Source organism: Homo sapiens, chromosome 16, assembly GCF_000001405.40.
Source record: "Homo sapiens chromosome 16, GRCh38.p14 Primary Assembly".
NCBI lineage: Eukaryota > Metazoa > Chordata > Mammalia > Primates > Hominidae > Homo > Homo sapiens.
The window spans coordinates 3,168,777-3,182,569 of record NC_000016.10 but is presented as its reverse complement, the minus strand read 5'-3'; the positions used below and the strand labels follow the sequence as shown (position 1 = coordinate 3,182,569).

The window sequence follows — 13,793 nt, the reverse complement described above, 5'->3', positions numbered from 1 at the left end:
AGCTCTGACAGGTCAGCGCAGCCCGAGTCCTTCGAAGTTAGTTTGTTTGTTTGTTTTGAGACAGAGTCTCTGTCGCCCCGGCTGGAGTGCAGTGGTGCTATCTCACCTCACTGCAACCTCCGCCTCCTGGGTTCAAGCAATTCTCCTGCCTCAGTCTCCCAGGTAGCTGGGACTACAGGCACGTGCCACCATGTCTGGCTAATTTTTGTACTTTTTTTTTAGTAGAGACAGGGTTTCGCCATGTTGGCCAGGCTGGTCTCCAACTCCTTACTTCAGGTGATCAGCCCGCCTCGGCCTCCCAAAGTGCTAGGATTACAGGCGTCAGCCACCGCGCTCAGACTTCGAAGTTAATTTGTACAAAGATCTAAAGCTGTCTGACACCACCCACTGCCACATTTAAAATTTATTTGGAGTTTTCTCACCACTGTCGTCAGAGCCCTATTCCCTAATATTTTTGTTTGATATTTTGCTATTTTTGTTTTCTGCTTTTATTATTATTTTTATTTATGAGCTACTTTTGTCAGTAGGAATTCATTCGAGGCACTGAAGAAGAGATAAGTCCTTCCTATATACAGTAAGAGCCGAGTCTTCACTGTCAGACACCTTAAAAGCTCTACACTGGGATTCCCACCCAGTGTCCCTGGCTCCGGCGGCTAGAGCCTTAAGGAGAGAAAGCCGGGCACTTGAGCAGAGGAGATGGGCTATGGGCGTTTGTATCTGGGGTCTAGAGTCCTCTCCCTCCCCACATCCCGACACTCCTCACCTGCGTGTAGCCTTCTGGGGCTCCTCTCCTCCCCTATCCTAGTTCTGGAAGGGGTACAGACTGAACCCAGGAACCCGGGTATCTGCGTCCTGAGTCCCAGCGCCCACCAGGACTGGGGCCTCCTCACATCTACTCTGAGGACAGAATCTATTGGCAGAGTCTTCCTTTTTGTTTGGGATGCTGGGTTTGAGAACATGCCGGGAACCAAGAGTCGTGACTAATCCAATTTTGAGCGCTTGAGGACCAAGTGGAAAGAAACTCAAGCAGATTTAAAGTGACCAATGTCTGGTTATGCCCTTGAGCCCCTGCAGAAGCAAACAATAATTTTGTGTGTGTGTGGACAAATACATTTGTATTCCAGATCTCACAGAATTTCCTACACAAAGAAATTTGCAAGGAAAATGGACATTGCACCCTAAAAATTAACAAGGAAAGAAGGTACCAGGAGCAACAACTCATTAACAGGAACAGAAACAATATTGCAAATATTTCAGATGCAAAGTGTATCCGACTTATAATACAACTGTCCCTACTGTGTCTAAAGAAATGAAAGGCAATAAAGAAAATATCTTTGACATCAGGACCTCCAACCTTCTTGATTGAAAAAAGAACCAAATAGTTCTAGATATAGAAGCACACGGTAATGGAAAGGGAACAACTAGATGCACGCCACAGTAGGTTACAGTGCGGAGCAGCACCTGCGAGGGCTTCTGTGAGTCCCAGTGAGCTTTGGGCTTTCTGTCTGCAGCTGCAAGGATGGCCCATACACAGCAGAACTCTCCTGTCCCTGTAACTCAAGTGGCCTCAAAAAAAAAAAAAAAAAAAAAAAAAGGGTTGCCAAGGTTGTCATTGACTCTTTAAGTGCGTGCAGTCGCAGTCTGAGAATGTTTTTTCTCTTTCTGAAAGAAGGCCTTTTCAGAGGAGGGCACGGACTGGGAGAACACAGATATATGCCGGCGCGGTGACGAAGGAGACTCTGGCAGGTCACCCCCATTTATGGGAGATTGCGGGGTGGTGAGGGAAATCCTGCACTAGCGGGGACGTCGGTGGCGAACTGAGTCTGTTGTGGGGGACCCCAAGCGCGCCCTGGTTTCCCGGGGTGATTCATTACCTCCCTTTGTTTCCACCACCCTTAGGCCACTCGGCCCATTTGTAGATATGGAAAAGATCCTATAAGGAAGCCCGGCTAGCTCAGTCGATAGAGCATGAGACTCTTAATCTCAGGGTCGTGGGTTCGAGCCGCACGTTGGGCGTGCCTTTTGCTGTACCATGAAGGTACATCTTTTTCTCCCAGCTTTCTGCCCCTGGCAATGCAAGACTTGGTGAAAGAAGAAACTCAAGCAGAAGATTTAAAGTGACCAATGTCTGGTTATGCCCTCCCCTGCTTATTCCAGAAAGCCATCCTGGCTCCTGCCCCATGGATGCGGTTCCTACCTGGAAGACCAGGAGAACAGTAATTCCTCGCTCCTTGATAGCAGAGGCCCTGGGGAAGACCCCCACTAGGGTTTTCCTTTTCTGGGATCCCAACAGGGCTGTCCTCATTAAAACAGAAGAAAGTCTGAGAACCTTAGCTTGTACAGGATTGGACTCTCTTGTACCCTAAGCAACAATCATAGCCTGGACAAGGAGCCACCTACAAAACCTTTCTCTGCTTATCTCCCATCGTCCTTATGCCTGGCTCCACCCTTGTCCAGCAACACTGCCCAGATGCTGATCCCCAGGGGGTCATGTCAGGTAGAGTTTGACTCAGGTCCCATCAAGTAGAGGGGGATAGAGATCCCAATGTTCACTAGTTTGACAGTCCCAGTGTCTGGCTTTCCTGCCTTCCTCTCTGATTAGAGGCCTCCAGCCCAGGGAGGTGGGTGCCGGATCCTCCCAGAAGTGCCCAGTGCAGCCGGAGGGAGCAGCTGTGGTCTCCTGAGTTACCCAACCTCCCTCCACCCGGACCCTCTGGGTGCATACAAGATTTCACTGGATCTCTGCTTGTACGGCCAGCGTGGTGCTGCTGGTACCTGCTTGCAGAGTTGTGAGGCTGGTGACGGTGACCCAGGGGGCAGAGATTAGGATGTTCAACATTAGCAGTAGACGTAGCTAATGCTTATTAGGCTCACCATGCCTAACACTCTTGTAAGCTCTTTACTTATCTAAACTCGTTTAATCTTCACTACTATACTCTTATTATTGCATTTTCAGACAAAATTGAGGAGCTGGGATGGAAACATGGAAACCCAGTCAACCTGCCACAGAATGTGCCCTCCCAACCCCAGCAGGTCAGGGAAGCGGACGGCAGGGAAGAGAAGGTCTGCTTGACTTGGTGTCGGCATTCCTGGGGCAGTGAGGTTTATTGACTGATTGATTTACTGATTGAGATGAGTCTCGCTCTGTCACGCAGGCTGGAGTGTGGTGATGGGATATCCGCTCACTGCAACCTCTGCCTCCCGGGTTCAAGGAATTCTCCTGCTCAGCCTCCCTTGAGTAGCTATGATTGCAGGAACGCGCCACCACGGCCGGCTAATTTTTGTATGTTTTTAGTAGACATGGGGTTTCACCATGTTGGCCAGGCTGGTCTCGAACTCCTGGCCTCAGGTGATCTGCCTGCCTCTGCCTCCTAAAGTGCTGGGATTACAGGCGAGAGCCACCGCGCCCGGCCGGTTTATCAGAATAGTTTTTTTTTTTTTTTTTTTTTTTTTGAGATGGAGTTTTGCTCTTGTTGCCCAGGCTGGAGTGCAATAGCACCTTCCTGGCTCACCACAACCTCCGCCTCCCGGGTTGAAGCGATTTTCCTGCCTTCACCTCCCAAGTAGCTGGGATTACAGGCATGCACCACCACGCCCGGCTAATTTTGTATTTTTAGTACAGATGCAGTTTCTCCGTGTTGGTCAGGTTGGTCGCAAACTCTCGACCTCCAGGTGATCTGCCTGCCTTGGTCTCCCAAAGCGCTGGGATTACAGGTGTGAGCCACCTCACTCAGCCTATTTAGGATAGTTTATAATGAAAAATACATTGGCACAACTCCTCGGGTGTGCTCCTTAATGCTGCTGCAAGGAACACCACTCAAAATCCAGACCTGGCCTTCTGAGATAGGTCAAGCTGTAAGGTCACTTGGAGCCCACTGAGGAAAGTGGCACTGGGCCGGGCACAGTGGCTCAAGGCTGTAATCCCAGCACTTTGGGAGGCCGAGGTGGGTGGATCGTCTGAGATCAGGAGTTCGAGACCAGCCTGGGCAACATGGTGAAACCCCGTCTCCACTAAAAATACAAAAATTAGGCAGGCATGGTGGCAGGCGCCTGTAATACCAGCTACTTGGGAGGCTGAGGCAGGAGAATCGCTTGAACCCAGGAGGCAGAGGTTGCAGTGAAGCAAGATCATGCCATTGCACTCCAGCCTGGGTGACAAGAACGAGACTGCGTTTCAAGAAAGGAAGGAAGGAAGGAAGGAAGGAAGGAAGGAAGGAAGGAAGGAAAAGAAAGAGGCACTGATCAGTAGGCCTGCTTTTCTATTTTGCTTTTTCTGAAATTTTGAGATAGAGTCTCACTTTGTCACCCAGGCTGGAGTGCAGTGATGCAGTCACAGCTTACTGTAGCCTCGACCTTCTGGGCTCGAGTAGTCCTTCCACTTCAGCCTCTCAGGTAGCTGAGACTACAGGCTGAGCCACAATTCTTGGCAATTTATTTTTTGTAGTAGCAGTAGCAATAGTAGAGATGGGGTCCCTCTTGGTTGCCCAGCCTGGTCTTGAACTCCTGGGCTCAAGTAATCCTCCCTTCTCAGACTACCCAAGTTCTGGGATTATAGGAATGTGCCGTCAAGCCTGATTCAGGCATGCTTTTCACATAAGGCGTAAGAGATCTCAGGTTCTAGTCCTGAATAAGCCCAAAGTTTTTTCCTTCTAAAATCACTAACATTCTAGGTTAGGGGCTTGGTCCCTTCCGTTCCTGTGGTCCTGAGGAGCAACTGTGGGGAGTAAAGGTGGGGAAGCCAGTGCCCTCCAGTTTCCCTGCAGGGCTTGCAAGGGATTGGGGATCGAGTCCTGGAGACTCTATAGGTAAAGAGGAAAAATCTTGGAGGACAGCGAGAGTCGGTGTGAAGGATCAAGAATTGCCGGTTGTAGGCCCGGCACGGTGGTTCACACCTGTAATCCCAACACTTCAGGAGACGGAGGTGGGCGAATCACTTGAGGTCAGGAGTTTGTTATATACAAAGTTTCGGTGCCGCAAAAGAAATAGCCCGAAAATATAAAATTTTGTTTTTAATTCTCAGCAAGGCAAGGTACTTCTATAGAAGGGTGCGCCCTTACAGATGGAGCAATGGTGAGAGCACACTTGGACAAGGGAGGGGAAGGGGTTCTTATCCCTTTCGCACGTGGCCCCTGCTGCTGTGTCATTCCCCTATTGGCTAGGGTTAGACCGCACAGGCTAAACTAATTGCCATTGGATAATTTAAAGAGAGTGACGGAGCGAATGGTTTGGCGGGAAAAATGGTTATTACAGAGCAGGTAATCGAAAGAGTCAGGGTGGAGTAGGTAATTGAAAAAGGTTGCTTTATGAGGAAGTTAAGTTTAAAAGTAGAAGGTAAAGAATTGAACATACTGACATATTGAATCTTTGAAAAGAAATTTGGAACTCATATCTAACAAGTTGGAGACCAGCCTGGCCAACATGGTGAAACCTCGTCTCTACTAAAAATACAAAAAGTAGCTCGGTGTGATGGCACGTGCCTGTTCCCAGCTACACGGGAGGCTGAGGCAGGAGAATCGCTTAACCCTGGGAGGCAGAGGCTGCAGTGAGCCGAGATCGCGCCACTGCACTCCAGCTTGGGCAACAGAGTGAGACTCCATTTAAAAAAAAAAAAAAGTGTACAATTTGGTAAGTTTTGGCAGTCCGTCACTCTCTGCTTTCTGTCACTGTATTATTTTGCATTTTCTAGAGTTTTACACACATGGGATCATCATTATATAACATTATTTTTTATGACATTATCCTCCATTTTGGATTTATGATAATTTCATTTAATCTATGCCCTATTTTGGGGCAAGTAGATTGTTTCCATTTGTTTTTTGTTGTGTTTTGTTTTGTTTTTTGAGACGGAGTCTCGCTCTGTTGCCCAGGCTGCTGTGCAGTGGCGCGCGATCTCGGCTCACTGCAACCTTCACCTTCCGGGTTCAAGCGATTTTTCTGCCTCAGCCTCTCCAGTAGCTGGGACTACAGGCGCGCACCATCACGCCCAGCTGATTTTTGTGGTTTTGGTACAGACGAAGTTTTACCATGCCAGGCTGGTCTCGAACTCCCGACCTCGTGATCCACCCACCTTGACTTCCCAAAGTACTGGGATTACAGGCGTGAGCCACCGCGCCCAGCCTGTTTCCTGGTTTTTAAGTATAATCTCAGAATAAATATTTTTTGATGCAAAATATCTATGTAAATCTATTACTACTTTTCTAGGACACGAGCCCTCAGTCAGGCTGGTGGGAATATAAAATAATCCAGCCACTGTGAATAATAGCCTCAAAATGTTAAACACAGAACTACCAAATGACCCCAAAATTCCATTCCTAAGTGGAATTCCACTCCTATGCTCAAGGAAATTTAAGACATATGTTCATACTAAACCATGTACACAATGTTCACTTTAATGAGCTGAGTTGTGACTGTCCACCATCCATATGTTGAAGTTCTAACTCTCAGTCCCTCAGAATGTGGCTGTATTTGGAGACTGGGTATTTAAAGAGGTAATTAAGACAAAATGAGGTTATTAGGATGGGCCTTAATCCAATATGACTGGAGTCCTTACAAGAAGAGGAAATTCAGGGCAGGCGCGGTGGCTCACGTCTTTAATCCCAGCACTTTGGGAGGCTGAGTCAGGTAGATCACCTGAGGTCAGGAGTAGTGAAACCCCACTCCAGGATGGTTTCCTGGGATGAGCAGGCATCTGCTTTCACCAAATCTTGCATCGCCAGGGGCAGATGGCTGAGAGAAGAAAATTGACCCAGTTGGAACAGAAACTCACAATGCTATCCTTGCGGGTGAGGCTCGCAGTAAAAAGGAATCGCCCAACGTGGGGCTCGAACCCACGACCCTGAGATTAAGAGTCTCATGCTCTACCGACTGAGCTAGCCGGGCGACACGCCAACGTTACCTTAGTGGATTTCTAGATTACAGCAGAGTCCAGGACCAGGAGTCTTCAGTGTCGGGACTACACTGTAGAACACAGTTGCTCCGCAGTAAGCGTTGCCCTCAGGCCTGCCCCAAAGGCGAGGCGCAGCAGGAGGCCCCCGAGGTAGCTGGATCTGGGTCTTTCTCTGCGTCAGAGGCCCACCCGCGGACGCCCCACAGGCCGGCACCTCCTGAGTGTCAGGGTGACTGGCCCTGGCACCCGCCCCGACTCAGGGCTGTGGAAGCGGGTCTGACCCGTGGATTCCTCGTTCACACGAAATACCTTTGCTGAGCCCCGACTTCGAGCCCAGCCAGATCCCATGGAGGCAGCAGACCCTGGGCATCCAGCCCCGTTGGAGGGTGTGGCACAGAGCCGCAGCTGCCAAACTGGAGCAAGAAATTGTTGTGACTCCTGCCCAAAGGATGGGGGTGGGGGTGGGGAAGAGGGAGGGACTGCAGGAACTGCGAGGCACCCCGGAAAGAAAACCGTGTCCCCACCAGGGGGAGGTGGGCTGGGGTGGGCTGGGTTGCAGGGGGCCGGGAGAAGGTGGGAGGCGGCCGGCAGTGACGGCGGGAAGCAGACAGGAAACCTCCGTGACCCAGCGGCCTCCTGCGCTGGGTTCCTTGCCTCGCGTCCCACCTGGGCAGGTGACGGTTTCCCGTTCCTTTCTAGGACCCTTAGCCTTTGCCGCTGCTGTTCGGCTGAAGAAGAATTCCCTAGCCAGGTTCGGTGGCTCACGCCTGTGATCCCAGTACTTTGGAAGGCCGAGGGGGTAGGATCGCTTGAGCCCAGGGGTTGGGGACCAGCCTGGGCAATATAGCGAGACACCCGTCTCTACAAAAAATAAAAATTTAAACATTAGACGGGCGTGGTGGCGCGCGCCTGGAGTCCCAGTTACTCGGGAAGCTGAGGCTGCAGTGAGCTATGATTGCACCATCGCACTCCAGCTTCGGCAACAGGGCAAGACCCTGTCTCAGAAAAAATAAAAATTAAAAAAAAAAAAAAGAATCCCCCCCTGAGCCCTCAGCACTTGCATCTCCCCAGGTTCGAGTCTCCTCCTTGGCAGGGCTGTGCGGGCGGCGGCTTCAGGCGCTCCGTGGACTCTGTTTTTCCTGGCTCTTCTGTTCTCACTCCACGCTGAGGTCCTATTTCTTCCAGGACCCCAGAGTTCAGCCAGGAGGGGGCGCCCCTCAAACCCTACGTCCAAGGTTTAAGGGAGATGCCTGAGAGGGCTCAAGTCACATGCCTGAGAGTAAGGGGTGGGGGGAGTGGAGTCTCATCTCGACCCACCTAGCTAGCCAGACTGGGGCAGGCTGTTATGCTGCCGTGGTGGTCGGGCCTTGCCGCCCGGAGGAAGGCTATCCGGACAGGAAACGAGCAGTTTAAAAAAGAAAAGAAAAAGTGGGAGGGGCTGAGGGCAGCTCTAACCTCAGCAGGTTTTTCCAGCAGCGAGAGGGGAGTGTGTATGGGGTGACCCCTCACGTTCAGCCCCAGCACTGGGGCTTCGACCTGGGCTTTCCGTTTTTTTACTTCTTCTTGGGCTGGTGAATCACCATACCAAACACCTGGAGGATTTGCTGTATCAGCTAGGCTCTGGAAAGAAGAAACAAAACCATTAGAAGAGATACTTGAGACGGATGACGCTTATGTGTACACGTGCATGGATGTGTTGCTATTTTTACTAGATTTATTTAAATGAATTGGCACATGTGATCGGGCAAGTCTGAAATGTATAGGCTGGGCAGCCAAGAGTTAATGTGGAAGTCTTCAAGCACTGTTCTACATGCTTTACCAAAACATGAAGAAATTTTAATACTCGAATTAATCTTTTAATTGCCATTATCCTCACATTACAGATGTGTAAGCTGGGGCCTTTGAGAGCCTCAATTTTGTGGGTCCATGTTTGTGGGGTGCAGATGAGGGATGGGGAGCCTGGTCCTGTCATCTTTCCCTCTACCCCTAAAAGAACTGTCCGAGGCCGGGAGCAGCGGCTCATACGTGTAATCCCAGCACTTTGGGAGGCCGAGGCTGGCGGATCACCTGAGGTCAGAAGTTCGAGACCAGCCTGGCCAACATGGTGAAACCCTGTCTCTACTAAAAATACAAAAAATTAGCCGGGAGTGCTGTTGAGTCCCTGTAGTCCCAGCTACTCGGGAGCCTGAGGCACGTGAATCACTTGAACCCGGGAGGCAGAGGTTTCAGTGAGCCAAGATCACACCATTGCACTCCAGCCTGGGTGACAGGGACTCTGTCTCAAATAATAATAATAATAATAAAATAGCTGGGCGCGGTGGCTCACGCCTGTAATCCCAGCACTTTGGGAGGCCGAGGTGGGCAGATCACGAGGTCAGAAGTTTGAGACCAGCCTGGTCAATGTGGTGAAACCCTGTCTCTGCTAAAAGTACAAAACATTAGCCAGGTGTGGTGGCGGGCGCCTGTAATCCCGGCTACTCAGGAGGCTGAGGCAGGAGAATCACTTGAACCCAGGAGGCGGAGGTTACAGTGAGCCAACCAAGATCGCACTGCTGCACTCCAGCCTGGGAGACACAGTGAGAGTCCGTCTCAAAAAAAAAAAATTTAGCCAGGCGTGGTGGCACCCACCTATACTCCCAGCTACTCAGAAGCTGAGGAAAGAGAATCTCTTGAACCCTGGAGGCACAGGTTGCAGTGAGCCGAGATGGTGCCAATGCACTCCAGCCTGGCAACAGAGCGACACCTTCTCAAAGAAAAGTATAATTATATAATACAATTATATTATTATGATATAATCATATTATTAATATAATTATATGATACATATATACTACATATAATATATAAACACATATAAAATATATATGTTTAGATATAAAACATATGTTTTTCATATGTGTGTATATTATTCAATACTGTAGACACGAAATCTAATTTCCATGTGTAATGAGAGAATGAGATATCTTATTTTTTTGGTACGAAGTCTTCAAAATCCCGATGTGTATTTTGTACTCACAGCAGCACATCTCAAGGGGACCAGCCATATTTCAAGTGTTTAAGAGCCATATGTGGCTCCTGGGCACCTTCCTGGCTAGCGCAGCAGGGGGCCATCGGGTCAGGCAGCTTTGACCTGCTCTCAACGAGCTTCATCTGTGACTCCGCCTTGGCCTGCAGAGATGTGGGTTTCTAGGGCGGGGAGGGGAGGTCGAGGAACGAGTAGCTCTCCAGGGCCCGCCCAGACCGTGCACACTACTCGATCACTCAGAACCCAACCACCGGCCTCCACCATACCCGGAGCCCATGTGGAGCTGAGCGACCCGGGCTGCAGAGGGTACAGCTTCTCTGGTCTGGGGTTGGGAAGGAGAAGGGCGCGGGACTCCCTCGAGGCTGAGGCAAGTGCCGACCAGGCCAGCCTCAGGAGCATCCTTGTCCCTTGTAGCTGAGGCACAGACCTGGACCGACCTGAAGCGGAGCAACGCGACTGGTAGTTGAGGCTTCAGGCTCGGTCCCCGATTTTCTAGCTCTATATTCTCTAAAATGACAAGGGAAAAGTAACCACTTCTAGGGCTCGTCCGGGATTTGAACCCGGGACCTCTCGCACCCGAAGCGAGAATCATACCCCTAGACCAACGAGCCTCCCGTGCGTGTATTTCCGCTGACATTTCAGACACCTGCCACCAATCCGGCACAAATCGGCTGATTCCGAAGTGGATAGAGCTCATCGCCGTCCCCAAGTGATTGGCAGAATTCTGGGGTCGCTGCGGGGAGACCCTGGTGAACCAGCCCCTTGGAGACAGAGCCCATCCACACTGGGCTTGGTAGGGGATGCTCAGGGTCAGGCCTGCAGCCTGGGGCTCCCCGCTGTATTTTCCCCTGCGCCGGGGTTACCGGGTCTGCGCTCACACCTGGGGCTGCTGACTCATACCCAAGGCCTTGCCCTAGGAGGATGGCTGAGCGGCCAGCCCACCTTTCATCCGACTGCGCCGGTGGTTGGCTCCATCCCAGAGGCGCCCCCATAGCCTCCCTCGGATGGAGCCCAGCGCCTCTGCCCTGACTCAGACGTTAGCTCTGCCCCCGTGTCTTCCTCTGTCAGCAAGAGCTGAAAAAGTTCCAGGAGGTCACTGGGGATGAGCAGCGACGGCAAAGGGCATCACAGCGACACACACTCGCTCCGTTTCTGTTTCTCTCTCACTCTCTCTCCAGGCGCTGTGGTTTTGCGGTTATGATTAGGGTGAGAGTGGGCCTCAGGGTCAAATCCTGTTGGGCCAATACCGCAACACCTTTTGAATCCTTCTTTAAGGACCTGAGCAGGTTGGAAAGCCAGTGGACGCGGCCTGGATGTGGAGAGGATCCAGCGAGTTCCGCGTGTGGTGGGCGAGAGGGTCCTGCCCATCGCCACAGGCCGCCCGCCCTATTTTGCCCTAGATCAACCCCACCCCAGACCTGAGCGCTGTCCCACTCCGGGGACTCCCTCCTCCCCTCTGGTTGGGCTTCTCGCTGCCGCGATCGTGGGCTCCCGGCCACGCTCCTAGAGCTGGCATCGACGTTTATGGAGAGCGGAGAATACGAAGTCTTGGGTTCCAGAAAGATAAGGCGCGGGGCGGGAGGGGGGTGAGGGAGTGGAGGAGCAAAGATGGTGCTTCCCGCCACCGAGGCCTGTTGGTCTAGAGGTATGATTCTCGCTTTGGGTGCGAGAGGCCCCGGTGCGAGTCCCAGAGGAGCCCAGCCTGCCGTGATCAGCTGTTGTTTGTTAGCCTGGTAAATCCAGCGCGCAAGAACAAGAATGGAGCGAATGAAAGAATCTTTCACAGGCAAAGCCGGCGCTTCCTCCCTCTCCTACCTTCTTCGGTTTCTCAAACTGCAGGATGAGACCCCACCAGGCGGGGCCTTGGGCCCCGGGCCCGGGTTTAAGAACCCGGAAATCAGCTCACCGCCAGCCACCTCCTGGATCCAGGACTGAGTACTCTGGACAGCGCGCGACCGGCCGTTTTTCTTCTTTTAGGAAAGGACTGCGGGTACAGGTGCTTGACTGAGGGTGGGAGTGAATGAAGACGGTGTCCGGGGACCCGGTGGCCGCAGCCAACTCAGTCTCCGCGTCCCTCGCTTGTTGGTCTAGAGAAGTAAGCGAACGCGATGGACGCCTCCCCCGGCAGGAGCCTCTGTACTGGGCGGGGGCAGGGGGGCTGCCCAGCCCCAGCGGATGGAACCCGGGCACCTGGTCACGCCGCCTCCCAGATTCCGGGGCGCAATGGGCTCAGAGGCTCAACTTCCTTCTCTCTTTAATCCCCTTCCCTCGCGGGGATCTGAACTGAACCTAGGACAGTTCTGAAGTTAACACCCCTCTTCCAAAGTAAAAGACCCAGACCATATTTTAATTCTTTAAAAAAGAACAAGTCGGCCGGGCGCGGTAGCTCACGCCTGTAATCCCAGCACTTTGGGAGGCCGAGGCGGGCGGATCACGAGGTCAGGAGTTCAAGACCAGCCTGCCCAACATGGTGAAACCCCCATCTCTACTAAAAATACAAAAAATTAGCCAGGCATGGTGGTGCATGCCTGTAGTCTCAGCTACTCGGGAGGCTGAAGCAGGGGAATCGCTTGAATCCGGAGGTGGTGGTTGCAGTGAGCTGAGATGGGGCCACTGCACTCCAGCCTGGTGACAGAGCAAGACTTCGTCTCAAAAACAAACAAACAAACAAAAAAGAACAAGTCAAGCTGGGCAGGGTGGCTCATGCCTGTAATCCCAGCACTTTGGGAGGCCTAGGCGGGCAGATCATTTGAGGTCGGGAATGAGACCAACCTAGCCAACATGGTAAAACTCCGTCTCCACTAAAAATACGAAAATTAGCTGGGCTTGGCTGCATGCACCTGCAATCCCAGATATTTGGTAAGCTGAGGCAGGAGAATCATTTGAACCCGGGAGGCGGAGGTTGCAGTGAGCCGAGATCACGTCACTGCACTCCAAGCTGGGCGACAAGAGCAAGACTCCGTCTCAAATAAACTAAAATAAAATAAAATAAAATGAAAAAGAACAAGTCAGGTCTAGATTTATCTACATGGAGTCAAATTTTTTATTCTCAAAGATCACAGGCGTCGTGTGTTAAAGCATGCATCTAATTTTTTGGTGGGCACAATAGTAGGCACAAAATAAAGAGCACACAGTTCAAAGTGAAGATTGACAATAACCAAGAAAAATACCTTTGAAAAACAGCCAGTGTTCATTTTCTGGCATTGATGCTGAGCCACAGTTATGGAAGTCTTAGGGGATACTGGGTGAATGCTACACAAGAGTTTTCTGTACTTTTTTTTTTCTTTTTGACCACTTACTGTGAATCTATAATTGTTTTAAAATAAAAAGTAAATAGGCTGGCCCAATGATGCACATCTGTAATTCCAGCATTTTGGGAGGCCGAGGAGGGAGGATCACTTGATCCCAGGAGCTCAAGACCATCCTGGGCAACATAGAAAGACCCGGTAGCTAAATTTAAATAAATCAATCAGGCCGGCTACGGTGGCTCATGCGTGTAACCCCAGGACTTTGGGAGGCTGAGGCGGGTGGATCACTAGAGGTCAGGACTTAAAGACCAGCCTGGCCAGCATGGTGAAACCCTGTCTCTACTAAAAATACAAAAAATAGTCTGGCGTGGTGGCACACGCCTGTAATCCCAGCTACTCGGCAGGCTGAGGCAAGAGAATCGCTTGAATCCGGGAGGTGGAGGTTGCAATGAGTTGAGTTCACGTCACTGCATTCCAGCCTAGGTGACAGAATAAGACTTCATCTAAATAAATAAATAAAATTAGCTGGGTGTGGTGGCACAAGTCTGTTGTTTCAGCTACTTGGAAATCTGAGGTAGGAGAATTCCTGAGTCCAGGAGGCTGAGACTGCAGTTAGCTACGATCACACCACTGC

At 51.2% G+C, this 13,793-nt stretch overlaps 3 non-coding genes and 1 pseudogene across 3 annotated transcripts, besides 10 other annotated features; 2 read left to right on the top strand and 2 right to left on the bottom strand.

Annotated features, from left to right (window-relative positions):
* Nucleotides 5-114: an enhancer, noted in NCBI's record as "active region_10312". NCBI's record gives its function as "activates an Ori minimal core promoter by ATAC-STARR-seq in GM12878 lymphoblastoid cells {active_cell/tissue: GM12878}" and the evidence as "EXISTENCE:reporter gene assay evidence [ECO:0000049][PMID:35858748]".
* TRK-CTT5-1 (tRNA-Lys (anticodon CTT) 5-1) lies at nucleotides 1,944-2,016 on the top strand. The gene has a single exon. It is a non-coding gene; the product is annotated as a tRNA-Lys (tRNA).
* Nucleotides 6,625-7,136: an enhancer, noted in NCBI's record as "H3K4me1 hESC enhancer chr16:3225435-3225946 (GRCh37/hg19 assembly coordinates)". NCBI's record gives its function as "activates a minimal SCP1, AML or CMV promoter by ChIP-STARR-seq in naive H9 embryonic stem cells {active_cell/tissue: H9 hESC(naive)}" and the evidence as "EXISTENCE:reporter gene assay evidence [ECO:0000049][PMID:30033119]".
* Nucleotides 6,652-6,701: an enhancer, noted in NCBI's record as "active region_10311". NCBI's record gives its function as "activates an Ori minimal core promoter by ATAC-STARR-seq in GM12878 lymphoblastoid cells {active_cell/tissue: GM12878}" and the evidence as "EXISTENCE:reporter gene assay evidence [ECO:0000049][PMID:35858748]".
* TRK-CTT2-5 (tRNA-Lys (anticodon CTT) 2-5) lies at nucleotides 6,807-6,879 on the bottom strand. Its single transcript has one exon. It is a non-coding gene; the product is annotated as a tRNA-Lys (tRNA).
* Nucleotides 6,812-6,911: a silencer, noted in NCBI's record as "silent region_7125". NCBI's record gives its function as "represses an Ori minimal core promoter by ATAC-STARR-seq in GM12878 lymphoblastoid cells {active_cell/tissue: GM12878}" and the evidence as "EXISTENCE:reporter gene assay evidence [ECO:0000049][PMID:35858748]".
* Nucleotides 9,610-10,349: an enhancer, noted in NCBI's record as "H3K4me1 hESC enhancer chr16:3222222-3222961 (GRCh37/hg19 assembly coordinates)". NCBI's record gives its function as "activates a minimal SCP1, AML or CMV promoter by ChIP-STARR-seq in naive H9 embryonic stem cells {active_cell/tissue: H9 hESC(naive)}" and the evidence as "EXISTENCE:reporter gene assay evidence [ECO:0000049][PMID:30033119]".
* Nucleotides 10,350-11,090: an enhancer, noted in NCBI's record as "H3K4me1 hESC enhancer chr16:3221481-3222221 (GRCh37/hg19 assembly coordinates)". NCBI's record gives its function as "activates a minimal SCP1, AML or CMV promoter by ChIP-STARR-seq in naive H9 embryonic stem cells {active_cell/tissue: H9 hESC(naive)}" and the evidence as "EXISTENCE:reporter gene assay evidence [ECO:0000049][PMID:30033119]".
* Nucleotides 10,350-11,136: a biological region, named in NCBI's record as "H3K4me1 hESC enhancer GRCh37_chr16:3221481-3222221".
* TRP-CGG1-2 (tRNA-Pro (anticodon CGG) 1-2) lies at nucleotides 10,451-10,522 on the bottom strand. Its single transcript has one exon. It is a non-coding gene; the product is annotated as a tRNA-Pro (tRNA).
* Nucleotides 10,537-10,586: an enhancer, noted in NCBI's record as "active region_10310". NCBI's record gives its function as "activates an Ori minimal core promoter by ATAC-STARR-seq in GM12878 lymphoblastoid cells {active_cell/tissue: GM12878}" and the evidence as "EXISTENCE:reporter gene assay evidence [ECO:0000049][PMID:35858748]".
* Nucleotides 10,607-10,676: an enhancer, noted in NCBI's record as "active region_10309". NCBI's record gives its function as "activates an Ori minimal core promoter by ATAC-STARR-seq in GM12878 lymphoblastoid cells {active_cell/tissue: GM12878}" and the evidence as "EXISTENCE:reporter gene assay evidence [ECO:0000049][PMID:35858748]".
* Nucleotides 10,987-11,136: an enhancer, noted in NCBI's record as "active region_10308". NCBI's record gives its function as "activates an Ori minimal core promoter by ATAC-STARR-seq in GM12878 lymphoblastoid cells {active_cell/tissue: GM12878}" and the evidence as "EXISTENCE:reporter gene assay evidence [ECO:0000049][PMID:35858748]".
* Nucleotides 11,540-11,610, top strand: TRP-TGG4-1 (tRNA-Pro (anticodon TGG) 4-1; annotated as a pseudogene).